The 16,502-nt window shown below is 35.0% G+C and overlaps 1 protein-coding gene across 24 annotated transcripts in view; it reads left to right on the top strand.

Annotated features, from left to right (window-relative positions):
- Window positions 1-16,502, top strand: part of AGTPBP1 (ATP/GTP binding carboxypeptidase 1) — a 258,945-nt gene that overhangs the window by 122,754 nt on the left and 119,689 nt on the right. For 22 of the 24 annotated variants that reach the window (XM_047423094.1, XM_047423090.1, XM_047423089.1 and 19 more), the window contains 5 exons: window positions 1,395-1,462; window positions 4,332-4,395; window positions 5,148-5,294; window positions 10,049-10,180; window positions 13,152-13,245. In XM_047423094.1, coding sequence (XP_047279050.1) covers window positions 1,395-1,462; window positions 4,332-4,395; window positions 5,148-5,294; window positions 10,049-10,180; window positions 13,152-13,245 — 505 coding nt within the window. The remainder of the gene's footprint in view (window positions 1-1,394; window positions 1,463-4,331; window positions 4,396-5,147; window positions 5,295-10,048; window positions 10,181-13,151; window positions 13,246-16,502) is intronic. The other 2 variants (XM_047423100.1, XM_047423099.1) reach the window with 1 other exon arrangement.

The following is a 16,502-nucleotide window of genomic DNA, read 5'->3' as shown; positions in this document are numbered from 1 at the left end:
ACTATCTGTTGTTCTTCTCTTAAACTCCCTTGACTATCTCCATGTGGAACATTGAATTTGGTATCAGTCCTTTGAACTTCATTGTGGAATATGTACTGTATTGAGAGTGGGTTGATTGTGTTTTTTAAAATCTCAAAATGTGAAATAAATGGCACTGTCATTCTGTATTAGAATAATTTCTGGCATTAGTATTCAGGTTTGACATTAAATAAAGTGCATTAAATGCTGGAAGACTATAAGTTTTGGGTTCAGAAACACAAGTGATGACCTGGTCTTTTCACTTGTTTGCTCAGCGACTTGTACAGATTTATTCTCCTTTCTGAACTTAAATCTTTAGATCCATGAAAAGAGTAGTTTTTTTTCCCCAGAGGGTTGAAGGGAGTTATAAATGACATAATGTAGCTATGGAATAGTAAATGTTAGTTCCTTTTCTAAATGTTGACCTAGGATGTACTTTTCTTCTTTTGCTAATCAAAGGAGAAGAATTGTGGAGAAGCTCTAGAAACCTTCACCTAATAGAAATAATCTATGCTTTTTTTTTTTTTTTTTTTTTTTTTAACCAATCCTAATGAGAGGAAAAGGATCATTTGGGTGATCTGGTCTCCAGATTGTTTCAGAAGTAGCCTTTTGTTAGTTTTGTTTGTTTTTGTGTGATACAGAATTTTAAAATAGTATTAATACAGGTCGGGCATGGTGGCTCATGCCTGTAATCCCAGCACTTTGGGAAGCCAAGGCAGGTGGATCATGAGGTCAGGAGTTCAAGACCTGCCTGACCAACAGGGTAAAACCCCGTCTCTACTAAAAATACAAAAATTAGCTGGGCATGGTGGCACACACTTGTAATCCCAGCTACTCAGGAGGCTGAGGCAGGAGAATCACTTAAACCCGGGAGGCGGAGGTTGTAGTGAGCGGAGATTGCGCCGTTGCACTCCAGCCTGGGCGACAGAATGAGACTCCGTCTCAAAAAAAAAAAAAAAAAAAAAAGATATTAATGCAATCATAGCATTGGAAAATGGTAGTAGGTTTTTGTTTTCACCCATTTTGATGAACAATTTTCTAGTTCTACTCATGAAGATGAGGTAAGACTCCTCCCTTACTCCTAGTTCTGGCACCTGTACTATATTATCGATTTTAAGATTTTAAATGGATGAATAGGAATCACCTAATTCATGACAGGAGCTGTGATGAAATGTGAAGAATGCCATGTTAACTGATATCTCGAAGTCCACATATGGTAGAATTAGCAACATCAGAGGGAAGAACGTCTGTGAACCAAGTTAGAGTGTTTACTGTACCAGTGGAGACTTGTTGAATCTTTATTAGCTATATGCAACAAAACTATACATACTTTTAAAAATTTATGTTTGAGAAAAAAATTGTTTGCTACTTTTCAGAAAAAACAAGGAGAGAAATGACAGCCAAAGGTTCTACAGGAATGGAAATTCTGCTGTCAACATTAGAGGTAAATCAGTGACACGCTTTAATTATGTAACTACTAATGCCAAGCAATACTGAAGAAGAAAAAGCGTATGTGTGTGTATAAATACACACAGAAACACATACACACGTACATATATACACACACACGTATATGTAATAATTTTTGTTTTAGAGGTAAAGCCAGTAAATGGAAATTCATTTTAGGTTTTTAAAATACTATTTGGAATGGTGGTATAAATATTTTAATATGTATTAGGTGACTATTGAAGTATATTTCCCTTATATGATTATAATGATAACTGTAAATTGTAATCCTAACATGCCATTTTAGTTGGTATAGAAAATAAAGCATTAGCTGGAAATAAATCTTTAGCTTAAAACAAATGAAAATTATCGTTTATTGTTTTAGCTGATATACATTTGTGATTTTACTACACATATTGGTTAACTATATTATATTGATGATAATTGAATTTCTACGCCAGTGTAAAGTTTTTGGTGGACCAGCAGGATGTATTCAGAATCAGGATTCTGTATTTTGTTCAGTTGCAATGTTAAGAACAAGAAATGAATTCATGTTCTTCAATAGGAAGTCTTAGCATCATAAAGATGTCATTTCTCCCTAGATTGCTCTGTTACTTTAGAGCAATCTCAATAAAAGTTACCAACAGTTTTTTTTTTCTCTCTTTTCTTTTCTTTTTTTTTTGAGACAGAGTCTCACTCTGTCGCCCAAGCTGGAGTGCAATGGTGCAATCTCGGCTCAATGCAACCTCTATCTCCCAGGTTTGAGTGATTTTCCTGCCTCAGCATCCCAAGTAGCTGGGATTATAGGTGCACACCACCATGCCTGGCTAATTTTTGTATTTTTAGTAGAGACAGGGTTTCACCATGTTGACCAGGCTGGTCTTGAACTCCTGACATCAGGTGATCCACCTGCCTCGGCCTCCCAAAGCACTGGGATTACAGGCATGAGCCACTGTGCCCGGCCTAACAGTTTTGTTTTTAAAGTCCAAATGGGGAGACATAATCAGCAAAATATAAAGCACATTTCTGAGAATGAAGATAAATGAGAAGGGACTATCCCATTAAATATCAAAGAACATTAGAAATCTTCAGTAATTAAAATAGTTTGGAAATTATGCATGAGTAATAGATAGACTACTACTATAGTGTAACAGAATAGAAAATCTAAAAATAAAATGCATATGGGAATTTAGTATTATTTATTAAAGGTAGCATTTCAGATCAGTGAGAAATAGAGTGATTGGTAGCTATGTGGAAAAAGGTAACATTGAATCATGACTTCCTGCATTCCACACCCAAATAAATTCCATATGAAGCAAAGATTTAAGCATGGAAAATGGAATCATAATACTAGAGAAAGAGAGATGAATTTTAAAATAATCTTACAACAAAGAAGGCTTTTTTAAGTATGAAGAAATAGAAACTATAAAAGATTGATAGATTCAACTATATTAACAAAAGGATGTAGAAAAAAAACACCATGGATACTTGGAAAACTGAGGAAAAGTATTTTGGCTTACATAATTTCTTTGACATGTAAAGAACTTCTTCAGTTAAAGGCTGGGTGTGGTGGCTCACGCCTGTAATCCCAGCACTTTGGGAGGCCGAGATGGGCAGATCACGAGGTCAGGAGATTGAGACCATCCTGGCTAACACGGTAAAACCCTGTCTTTACTAAAAATACAAAAAAATTAGTTGGATGTGGTGGCGGACGCCTGTAGTCCCAGCTGCTTGGGAGGCTGAGGCAGGAGAATGGCATGAACCCGGGAGGCGGAGCTTGCAGTGAGCCGAGATTGCGCCACTGCACTCCATCCTGGGTGACAGAGCGAGACTCCGTCTCAAAAAAAAAGAAAAAAAAGAACTTCTTCATTTAGGAAGGAACAACAACAAAAAAAAACACTTCAAAAACCATGTAAAGGCTATGCTCAGTTCTCAGGAAAAGAAACACAAATGTCACTTGAGATTGAGCATTACTTTTAAGAAGATAAATAAAACCAAAGTACAGTGTTTAAACATTTTCACTTATTAGATTAGTTGTCCAAACTTGGAGAAATAGTCACTCTTCTGCATTGCTGATGGGAGTATAAATTATTTCATAGAGAGCAATTTGGTAATATCTATTAAAATAAAGGCCCATATTCTTTGACCTTGGAATTGTAGGCATTTACCTTACTATACAGATGTACTTTACCACATGTAAATATATATCCTTAGTTAAATTTGAAACTTTTAATAGCAAAATATTAAAAGCAACCTAAATATTTCATGGGTAGATGACTGGTTACATAAACAATGGTGATATAGCCATATAATGGAAAATATCCTGTAGCCCTCAAAAAGAATAAAGAAGCTCTTTATCTATCGATATGTAAAATATCAAGGTGCAAAATAGTACCTATAGGGCAATACCATTTGGAGAAATAAACCTGTATGCACATGTATATTTACATGGATTTCTTTTATGTGTGCATATTATCTTTGGCAGAATGCATAAGAAATTGATAACGTGATTGCCTTCTGAGAGGGCAGCTAAGTGATTGAGTAGTCACCAGACATACATTGTAATGCCATTTACATTTTGATTCATTTACTTTTATTATCTATTTGGTAGAAAGATGAGGAATTCAAATGACAAATTGATTCTTCTTGTAATGTTGATATTTCACAAGTAATAACTCAAAATGATTTGTAAAAATTCTTAAAGGCAGAAGGAAACAGACGGAAATGATAATAGTGAAAACCTGAATACCTTTGTTCCTAGAGAAATTGGAAAGGTCATTTGTAAAATATAGGTAGTTCCCAGTGGATTCAAAAGTCTGGGAATCAAAAGTTTACAATGTTTTAATAAAACAAACTATTTATTTCAGAACACAAAAGATCTTCAAACTACACTTAATATCTTAAGCATTCTTGTTGAGCTGGTGTCAGCTGGTAAGTTTTTGTTTCTTTGGTCTAATTTCTGTTTCTAAACAGTGATCAACAATGTATCGTATTCACTTTATTTGGAATTTTCCGATACTCTTATAGAGGCTATTCTGAGTATTGGAATTAGAAACTGAAATGTCATAGTTTGTTGTTGTTGCTTTATTTTTGGTATCTTTTCAAGTATCCCTCAGACTACCCCATAGCCATGTATTTCACAGCCTTGAACCTAGAATTTCAGCGTGATTTGTGTTTACCCTTTGTGTGCTATTTTCTAAATAAATGAGATTAAACAAAATGTGTTGATGGTATTTGTTTGATATTATTGATTGATTGATTGAGATGGAGTTTTGCTCTTGTCACCGAGGCTTGAGTGCAGTGGTATGATCTCTGCCCACTGCCACCTCTGCCTCCTAGGTTCAAGAGATTCTCCTGCCTCAGACTCCCAAGTAGCTGGGATTATAGGTGTGCGCCACCATGCCTGGCTAATTTTTGTATTTTTAGTTGAGACGGGGTTTCACCATGTTGGATAGGCTGGTCTTGAACTCCTGACCTCAGGTGAATCTGCCTGCCTCGGCCTCCCTAAGTGCTGTGATTACAGGCGTGAGCTACTGCGCCCAGCCTTATTTGTTTGATTTTAGAGGTCATCAGTTTTAACCATTTCTTGAATGCTAACAAGTTATGATACCTAATATGTTTGTTTAAATTTGTTAATTTTTTTTTAATTTGTTGTTTAAATTTTTTTTTTTTTTAATTTTTAGGTGGAGGTCGAAGAGTGAGTTTCTTAGTCACCAAAGGTGGTTCACAAATATTGTTGCAGTTACTTATGAATGCCAGCAAAGAATCTCCCCCACATGAGGACTTAATGGTACAGATTCATTCTATTCTTGCAAAGATTGGACCAAAAGGTAAGGGATTTCATTTGTATGATTATTGTATCTAGAACTATTTTTGTAACAGTGATTCTCTCACCTTGTAACTACTCAGTTTTTAAAAATGTTATTTATTTTAAATTTCTATGGATACACAATAATTGTACATGTTTATGGGGGTACACATGATATTTTGATAAAAATGTATGTGTAATGATCAAATCTGGGTACATGGGGTATCCATCACCTCAAACATTCATTATTTCTTTGTGTTGGGATCATTCCATATCTTCTCTTATAGCTATTTTAAAATATATAATAAATTATTATTAGCTATACTTGCCCTATTGTGTTACCACTGGATGTTATTCCTTCTATTGAAATGTATTTTTGTATCCATTTAACAAACTCCTCCTTATCTCCCGCTCTCCATTACCCTTGCTAGCCTCTGATAACCACTATTCTATTCACTCCTTTCATGAGATCAGTTTTTTTAGCTTCTGCATATGAAAGAGAACATTGATATTTATCTTTCTGTGCCTGTCTTATTTCACTTAACATAATGTCCTCCAGTTCCATCCATGTTGCTGCAAATGACAGGATTTCATTTTTTTATGGTTGAATAGTATTCTATTGTGTAAATAAACCGCATTTTCTTTATATATTCATTCACTGATGGACACCTAGGTTGATTCCATACCTTGGCTTTTGTGAATAGTGCAGCAGTAAACATGGGAATGCAGATATTCTTCAATATACTTATTTCCTTTCGTTTGGATATATACCCAACAGTAGGACTGCTAGATCATCTGGTAATTCTATTTTTAGTTTTTTGGGGAACCCCCATACTGTTTTCCATAGTGGCTGTAGTAACTTAGATTTTTGCAGTGTGTGAGAGTTCCTTATCCTCACCAGCATTTATTATTTTCTGTCTTCTTGATAACAGCTGTTTTAACTGGGATGAGATGGTATCTCATTATGATTTTGATTTGCATTTCCCTAACGATTAGTAATGTTGAGCGTTTTTATCTATACCCATTGCCCATTTATATATTTTCTTTTGAGAATGTTTATTCAGATCTTTTGCCCATTTAAAAAATCCTTTCTCTTTTTTTTTGCTGTTGAGCTATTTGAGTTCCTTATATATTCTGGTTTTTTAATCTCTTGTCAGATGAGTAGTCTGTAAGTATTTCCTCCCATTCTGTAGGTTATCTCTTCACTTTGTTGATTGTTTCCTTTGCTGTTCAGAAGCTTTTTAGCTTGATACCATCTCATTTGTCAGTTTCTGCTTTGATTACCTATGCTTTCCAGGTCTTACTAAATTTTGCCCAGACCAATATCCGGAAGCATTTCTCCAATGTTTTCTTATGGAGAGTGCTTAATTTTTACAATCTAACATGCTACAGCTTTTTCTTAGACTTAGTAATGAAATGTTTTTTTTTATTTTTGAGACGGAGGCTCACTGTGTCACCAGGCTGGAGTGCAGTGGTGTGATCTGGGCTCACTGCAACCTCTGCCTCCTGGTTTCAAGTGATTCTCCTGCCTCAGCCTCCCGAGTAGCTGGGACTACAGGCATGTGCCACCATACCCGTCTAATTTTTTGTATTTTTAGTAGAGACGGGGTTTCACCATGTTGGCCAGGATGGTCTCAAACTCCAGACCTCATGATCCGCCCACCTTGGCCTCCCAAAGTGCTGAGATTACAGGCGTGAGCCACCGCACCCAGCCGAAATGGTTTTTTATAGTCAACTAGTGACCTGCAGTAACTGAGGATCCAAAATTTATGAGGAATTCTATTGCATGTGGTAGAAAAAAGAAAAAGTTTTGGGTCACAAGTGTGTCTTGGAGTGTGTGTGTGCCCTCTCAAGTGTGTTTGTAAAGGATACATGCAATATGGGTATTGTTGAGGCTAGAAGGAAGGAGTATGGATGAGAATGTTTTGAAAAACATGGAGGTAAAATATGTCACTGCTTTCTTTAATAGTCATATTTGTGCTGCATAGTGTGAATGCTCAGGAAACTTACAATCTTAGTTAAGAAGACAAAAATAGAAAAATTATGAGACCAGTTATTACAACAGTAAGACACGTGAAATATTAAAAAATGCAAATTGGGAAAAATAGGATATAGAACAAAGGAAGAAGCTGATTAAGGTTAGGTTAACTAAGGAAGGCACCCTTTGACTAGAACTCAAGTTCAGTTTACGGTTGTCTACTTGCACAAAGATTAAAATAATTCCTTAAATTATTAGAATTGTGTTTTAAGAGTTTTGCCTTTGGCCGGGTACGGTGTCTCATGCCTGTAATCCCAGCACTTTGAGAGGCCAAGGTGGGCAGATCACGAGGTCAGGAGTTTGAGGTCAGCCTGGCCAGCATGCTGAAACCCCATCTCTACTAAAAATACAAAAAATTAGCCAGGCATGGTGGCGCCTACCTGTAATCCCAGCTACTCAGGAGGCTGAGGCAGGAGAATTGCTTGAACCTGGGTGGTGGAGGTTGCAGTGAGCCGAGATCGTACCACTGCACTCCAGCTTGGGTGACAGAGCGAGACTCTGTCTCAAAAAGAAAAAAAAGAGTTTTGCCTTTGCCTGTGGCATACATGTGAGTTTTAAACTTTGAGTATTTGGCTAAAATGCTTATTGGAAAAAATGAGGATGCGTGTGTACATAGTTTGTGTATTTATTAACATACGTATTTCTAGCATATCTTTATGTATTGTATAAGTAATTAGTAGTTTTTATAGGTGTTGTTTTAAAGAAAGGAACCCTGAAGTGACTTTAATTTTCCAGGTATATTAGGAGCCTTAAGACTTAAAGATGTATTTAGTTTATTTAAGGAATATGTTAGCTGTCTCTTATTTTTCTTTAGCTCTTGTATTTAAGATTTAAAGACTCCCTTTTGAGATTTTTGTGGAAAATGAAAATGAAAAAATAAGAAAACCATAATTTGGCAGAAAATTCATTTAAAAAAAACCCCTTATTTATTGATGAGTATTGTTATGCTTTCTCTTCTAATTAGAACTAGGTTATCTTCTACTTTTCATGAAATTAAGATATTGATTTTAAAAATATTTATCATTCTTTAATATCCCTTTTAAGTTTTAGGTCATATTTATTTTCTCTTATATATTCTTTTAAATTTGGGCTATTTCCTTTATGGTTTGCCCTAGTTTCCCATTTTTATGTCATTCAAGGACATTATATGGTAATTTCTTGAGTGATTTTTCTATTCTTTTTATTTTTCTAGTGAGGTAAAATAATTTTTCCTCAGGAATATTGAGTTATTTTGATTTAAAATTATTTGTTTGCTGGTCCTATTTACTTTGTTTAAGTCTTTTTTTTTTTTTTTTTTAAGATGGAGTCTTGCTCAGTTGCCCAGGCTGGAGTGCAGTGGTACGATCTCGGCTCACTGCAAGCTCCTCCTCCTGGGTTCATGCCATTCTCCTGCCTCAGCCTCCAGAGTAGTTGGGACTGCAGGCGCCCGCCACCACGCCTGGCTAATTTTTTTTTGTATTTTTAATAGAGACGGGGTTTCACCATGTTAGCCAGGATGGTCTGGATCTTCTGACCTCATGATCCACCCACCTCAGCCTCCCAAAGTGCTGGGATTACAGGCGTGAGCCACCGCGCCCTGCCTTAAGTCTTTTTTAAAATTCATTTTTATTTGTAGTTTTATATAGTGGAGTACAAGTGCAGATTTCTTACATGTAGTATTGTATAGTGGGGAAGTCTGGGCATTTAATATACCCATTACCTGAATAGTGAACATTGTAGCTAACAGGTAATTTTTCAACCTTCACCCCTCACCCACCCTGCCACTTTTTGTATCTCCAATGTCTACTATAAATCTTAACATTCTTAAGTTCTTCTTATTTAAAATTTTTTTTACTGTTTTAATCTCTTCATGAGAATAAAAATTAAGAACATCTTTTCTTCCCTTCCTGTGTTAAGAATTATTTCCCTTTAGAAATTTATTTGGTAATATTTGCCAGATTATTTTCTACATAAGCTGTTAATTTTTTAAATGAATTTTTATTTTTTTACAAGTCAGAAAAGAATATGGTTCATATTAAGTATTATTGTAATGGACATTTGGATTTTGTTCCTTTTAACTCTGTGTTGGTGTTCTGGGAAGTGTGTTGAACTAGACAAATGTATATGTGTAGTGGAGCAGTTCAGTTTTTTTTAATGACAGTCTAAGTGTTGGGCTACTCTAGCCTCCATCCTCCTTCCCTATCCCCCTGTCTGTTTCTTAGTACATTCTTTCAACTAATGTTTTAAAATAAAAGGGATGTTTTATTTTAAAAATAATACAAAAAAGGATTATAATTTTATTCTTTTCAGGCCAACTTTATATTTCATAAAATTAATTCATAATGTAAATTTAAAATTTACATCACTGATTTATAATATCATCATTTCATTCAAAACTTACATGTGGGCCAGGCACAGTGACTCACACGTGTAATCTCAGCACTTTGGGAGGCCAAGGCGGGCAGATCACTTGAGGTCAGGAGTTTCAGACCAGCCTGGCCAACATGGCGAAAGCCCGTCTCCACTAAAAATCCAAAAATTAACCCAGTGTGGTGGTGGGTGCCTGTAATCCCAGCTACTCAGGAGGCAGAGGCAGGAGAATTGCTTCAACCTGGGAGCCAGAGGTTGCAGTGAGCTGAGATGGAGCCACTGCACTCCAGCCTGGATGACAGAGCAAGACTCTGTCTCAAAAAAAAAAAAAAAAAAAATTAAAAAGAAAAGTTGTATGTGCATAAATTGTCTTTTTTTTTTTTAAACAGATAAAAAATTTGGAGTAAAGGCTAGAATTAATGGGGCTCTGAATATAACCCTGAATTTGGTCAAGCAGAATTTGCAGAATCATCGCTTGGTTCTACCTTGCCTTCAGCTTTTACGAGTATATTCTGCCAACTGTGAGTATTTAGGTGGCTTTTAGTTAACTCAGTGTTGTAAAGTTACACAAAAAGAATTTTAAAGTATCCTGATTCTGTAAACCTCTGATATTTGTGAAAAAGGAAAGAGAAGATTTAATATGGCTCATTTTAACTCTTGACTCCAACCACAACAAAAGTGATGTGGGGTAAGGTTAAGTTGGTCTGTGCATGGTGGCTCATGCCTGTAATCCCAGCACTTTGGGAGGCCAAGGCGGGCGGATCACCTGAGGTCAGGAGTTTGAGACCAGCCTGACCGACATGGGGAAACTCTGTCTCTAATAAAAATACAAAAATTAGCTGGGCATGGTGGTGGGCGCCTAATCCTGACTATTTGGGAGGCTGAGGTAGGAGAATCATTTGAACCTGGGAAGTGGAGGTTGCAATGAGCTGAGATTGTGCCATTGCACTCCAGCCTGGGTGATAGAGCAAGACTCCGTCTCAACCAAAAAAAAAAAAGGTTAAGTTGGTAAAACCTTGAACATTCTAACTAATTTCTCCAATTTATAAAGGATAGGAGTGAGGAGGATGACTAGGCAGCCTGTAGAAAAGATGTGGAAGAATATGAGGGTATTGGTAGCTGGAAAAACTCCTGTGCCTCTTTAGACTGTCACAGATGAGAGGAGAAAGCCTAGAAGGAAAGGATGCAGTAGCATAGTCACCTGGAGCTAATTCTCTTCAGCAATCAATAGGGAAGTAGCAGAACTGAAAATAACTAGTATGGGAACCTCTGAGAAGCTAGAGAGAAGAGGGCTCACAGAGAGACAGACTCAGATAAAATGTCTCCCAAAACACACACTCTCACTAACACGAGGTTCCACGCATGAGGTGTGGATTTTTTTTTCTATTCTCTGATTGCAGAATTGAAGTGGTTAATGAAAGAACCTAAGATTGAATTGCAGAATATATGTTATTGCAGAATATCATTGCAAAATAATGATAGAGTGCTAGATATGTGTGTATATTGCGTATATACATATATGTAATATATAAACATACATAAGCTTATGTATATGTCTCTGTGTGTGTATATCAGTACCTTTAAAATATGGCTAAAGGTGTGCTCTGTGGAAAACAGCTTAGAACACTTAAATAACTAACATGTAATTAAAAAGAACATAAGGAAACAAATGAATTAGATATCTAACCAATGAAGTTAAGAACAGAGAAATAAACACCAGTAAAGTCAAGAAATGAAATAGTAAAGGTAAAAGGAAAAATATGCATTAGAAAATAGAAAAGCAGTTGATTTAAAAAATAAAACTGTATTGGATTAAAAATAAAATACACTGGTACAGTCGCACATGGCTGTAATCCCAGCACTTCAGAGGCTAGGCAGAAGGACCGCTTGAGGCCAGGAGTTTGCAACCAGCCTGGGCAACATAGTGAGATGCCATTTCTACAAAAAAAAAAAAGGAAAAAATTGGCTAGTTGTGGTGATGTGTGCCTGCAGTCTCAGCTACTCAGGAAGCTAAGGTGGGAGGATTTCTTGAGCCCAGGAGGTTAAGGCTGCAGTGAGCCATGACTGCACCACTGCATTCCAGCTTGGGCAACACAGCAGGACCCTGTCTCAAAAACAACAACAATGCAACAAAAACCCCCAAATGTAAAAATAAAACAGCTAAACCACCAAATACTTCAATCAAGGTCAAAGGAATACAGTATAGACATGAAATTAGAAGGGATAACGGAGTAATAAACAGAGAAAATTAAGATCATCCTACGAAATATTAGGAGCTACATTTTTGGTGGCATTTTATTGGATTAACCAATAGAAGGCTAGCAGATGGCTTATCTATAATTTAAAAATTGTTTATTAAACGATTTTCTTTTAGAGACAGGGTCTTGCTATACATCTCAGGCTGGCTTTGAACTCCTGGCCTTAAGCGATCCTCCTGCTTCAGCCTCCCAAGCAGCTAAGACTACAGGCACATGCCATTGTCCCTGGTTCTACAATATATTTAATAACATCTGTTCAGAATTAAAAATGTTTAGCACAGTTTTCTGGTTAGGTAATTATTTGTATATTCCATATTAAATACTGAAATTGTTCCATCTTTTTCCCTGCTACACTTGCTTTAATTAAAGTCCTCATTACCTGTTACCTAGACCATAGCCTCCTAATGTGTCTTTCAAAACCAGCTTCCTCAGAGTTCTTTGAATTCTGACCTATTTATTTAAAATTCACATCTGATATGTTCCTTTTGCGTGATTCCCCATAGTCAAAAGAATTAACAACTTCTAGGGCCCTTCATAATTTCTCATCTTTTTCTACCTCATCTTCCTATTTGTGTATCTTTTCTTGATACTCTGTGTTTAACATTATGTAACTGCTCACATTGTGATGTTCATTGTCTTCGTTCTGTTTGTATTATTCCTGTGTCCAGAGCCACATCTACCCCTTTACCTCTACTCCTGCCCTAACTACTACTCACTTTTAAAGACTGAGCCTAGGCATCATTTTCTCCAGAAATGTCTGTCTCACTCTGAATTAGGAACTTCTCAATGGTGTAATCCAAATAGTCTACAACTCTTGATCTATTTTGAAAGTAATTTAGTAATTATTTGTTTATTGTTTCTGTCATTCTCTCTACACTTTGTTCTTTGAGGTCAGAGATTTTATTCTTGTTTCGGAATCCCCATAACCTGGTGTTCAGTGAGGTTCACTAAATTTATTAGAGAAATATAGAGTAACTGAAGAATTTTTTTTATAATAGTGGTTTTTTTTTTTTTTTGCATATAACTCGTTTCAGAATTTCCCTGCACTTTCCATAACAAAGCAAAAACAAAAAACACTATTTCTTCATGTGGTTAGCTTAGATGGACTTTAAGGTGACTTGAGTTGACATTTACTAAACAATTTGTATATGTTTTTGCCTATGTATCACTAAGTATACACATTTTTGGTTGTCAAACCTTAAAATAATTTTGCATCTCTTTCTCCCCCTCTCAGCTGTGAATTCAGTATCCTTAGGGAAAAATGGAGTTGTGGAACTGATGTTTAAAATCATTGGACCATTTAGTAAGAAGAATTCCAGTCTTATAAAGTGAGTAAATGTTTTGAATGTAAACATAGGTATAGCCTTTGTTACTCTGGGCCTCATTATCTTGATATGTACAATGAGCAGGTTGAATTAAATTGTCTCCAGGGTTATTTCATTTCTTAGTTCTTAAATAATGATTTTATCATGATAAAGATTTTCTTTAGTATAAAATTTAATCTTCACAAATATCTCAAAATTGGACAGTTTTGACTTCATTGAATATAATGTTTATAGTAACTTAGACTGAACATTTCTAGATACTGTAAAAGGAAAAAAGATTATCTATAGAGTATTCATTCAGAAACATTTATTGAGTGCCTACTATATTTCTCACCCAATTTTACAATCTTGTAATGACTTTTTCATTCTTATGAATACCTGAACAATCTTAAATTGATACATTTCTATTTTGTCAAAATCACATCATTCTTTTTCCCCCATCCTGAGATGTGTGTGTGTGTGTGTGTGTGTGTATGTATACACACACACACACACACACACACACACACACACACACACATGTATGTATGTATGTATTTTTATTCATTCCTAGGCCTTTCAGCCTCAGAAAATGAAAGCCATGTCTCATTTATTGGTTACAGTTTAATATTTTCTTAAGCCATTTTAGAGGTCTTTCTTTAAAATTTTTTTTTATTGTGGAATTTTTAAAACATACATAAAATAGAGTTTATATTAAACTGATTATATTGAGTTATATTAATTACTTGTTGTGTTTAACAATTCTGAACATTCCACCATTTTTGTTTCATTTGTTTCCACTCCACACTTTTGTTTGTTTGTTTTTCCTGGGGTACTTTTAAGAAATCTCAGGTATTTTATATATACATAAATGTGTGTGTATTTCTATAAGCAGATCCTAGATATTTTCTCTTGGATTATTTTCTTTGAATACTATCATTTATTTTCTAAATACCTCAGTATATAATTCTACTAAATAAGGACTTAAAAATAACCAGAATACTACAATCATAGCCAACAAAATTATTAATTTCTTTTTTTTTTTTGAAATGGAGTCTCTCTCTGTTGCCTAGGCTGGAGTGCAGTGGCATGATCATGGCACACTGTAGCCTCAAATTCCTAGGCTCAAGTGATGCTCCCACCTCTCCCTCCTGATACTTACTTAATACAATCTAAAATCTGGTCTGTTGTTTGATTTTCTCCAGTTGTCTCAAAATAGCCCCTTTTTAGTTGGTTTGTTTGAATCAGAATCCAAACAAGATGCATACATTATTCTTCATTATATTTAGGAAATTTCCAAGCCTACACAAATGTAGAGAGGATAATATAATGAACTCTGATGTACCTGTTACCCAGTTGTACTATCAAAAATCTGTCATTTTAATTTTATTTTTCTTTCTGTTTTTCTTTTTTCCTAGCGTATTTTAAAGCAGATATCAGCCATTATATTTGAGCTGTAAATTCTTTAATATGATCACTGTCAATTACAGATCTTTTCTCTTTTAGTGTTACCGCAGTTGTCTTTTCTGTGCCCAACAATATTAACGGTAATTTCTTAATATCTGATATTTTCTGATTAGGAAATGCTTTTTTTTTTTTTTTTTTACAGTTGGCTTGCTTGTTCAGGGCTTCAATTAAGTCTATACATTATATTTGATTGATATGTCTCATAATCTTTTGAAATAAAAAAAAGTTTCCCTGTTTTTTGGTTTTGTTTTATTTGTTGAAGGTCTTCAGTGATAGGTCTTTTAAAATGTCACACGTTCTGGCTTACAATGACTATATCCTGAAGTTATTTAACATATGAGTATATCCCTTACATTTTCTGTAGACTGATAAAACTGTGGCTTGATTAGATTTGGGGTTCTGGTTTGTTTTTTCTGGTCAAAAATATTTCATAGGTGGAGCTGGCAACTTTGTTTTATGTCACTTAAGATAATTGAGTTGAGGTTATCTACCCATTAGAAATGTCCCCATCCACTTTTCACTTAGTGATTTAGCAGTCATTCATGACACTGCCTGTATCTGTTATTTCATTAGTGGTTGGAAAATAATAACTTATCTAGTTTTATTTTTTTCCTGTGTTTATTAGCTGTGAATCTTTTGTAATGAAGAACTTGTCCACATGAACTATTTGATTTGACTTTACTCTTAAATAGGGTTCAGGACATTTCCAGTGTTTTCACCCTTTCTTAATAAGGGTCAAATATTTTAAAATATTTTCTGAGCTTACTTGCACATATGACTATTTATTAAATATTATTTGGTGGGATGACAACATAGTTACAGCTGTGTAAGAATTATACACAATCCCAGAGTATCTGATGAAATGTAACAAAGCAAACAAAATGTTTGTATCACAATCAGTAACACAGAATATTGGTGTCTTATGGTGGTTTAGAGTGGGCTCTGCAGGCAGACAGACTTGGATTTGCATGTTAGCTCTATCATTTACTGGCCCTAGGATACAAGTAAGTTACTTAATTTATTATGCCCCAGTTTCCTGTCTGTAAAATTGTAATAATATTTAGCATCTCTATTATAAGGTTGTAATGATATGATTCCTGTAATTAGCACAATGCCTGTATTAATGTAATACAGTTTAGATAAGCAATGTAGTAGTGTGTGTATGAATGATTCCTAGCTAACACTAAAAGTACATTAGTTATGCTTTTATTTATTTGCTGTTTCTCCCTTTAATCGGTACTGCATTTTATAATTTATTTTTTATATAATGGCCATGATCTCCTACTTAAGATGTACTTTATGCTCTATTATAACCAAGTTGTCAAATCTAATATAAAATGTTTCCAGGGGAAATGAAATGGAGCATTTCAAAAGGATCTTTATAATATACCACATGGGGTATATCCAAAACCTTATGGAAATCAGTGGATCTAAAACATCAGAGAAAAGATGAATTATGCATTATTTTTCTATTTCTACTTTAAAAAGGAAAAATAATCTTTTACTTTATTTTTACTTTAAAAAGAACAAGCCATTCATTGACCAAACTTGCTATATCTTGATCTCTTATCATTTTTAGTAATCTGAGGGTCTCTCCTCTAATTAACTAAAAACCTCAGACATCTAACGCTTTCTGTTGTATTTCTTCCTCCCTTTAAACAATGCTCCACATTTAATGGGAAGACGATTGAGGAAGAGTTGTATTTGGAGGGTTATGCTTCCTCTCCTTTTTAATTTTAGGTTTTGGATTTAAAACTGTTAATCTAGAAGGAAGCAACTCAGGAGGTTATTTTAACTGTATCTTTTTGAGTTTC

The sequence above is a fragment of the Homo sapiens genome, chromosome 9 (assembly GCF_000001405.40).
Source record: "Homo sapiens chromosome 9, GRCh38.p14 Primary Assembly".
In the NCBI taxonomy this organism is placed as follows: domain Eukaryota; kingdom Metazoa; phylum Chordata; class Mammalia; order Primates; family Hominidae; genus Homo; species Homo sapiens.
This window is presented reverse-complemented; position numbering and strand designations above follow the sequence as displayed.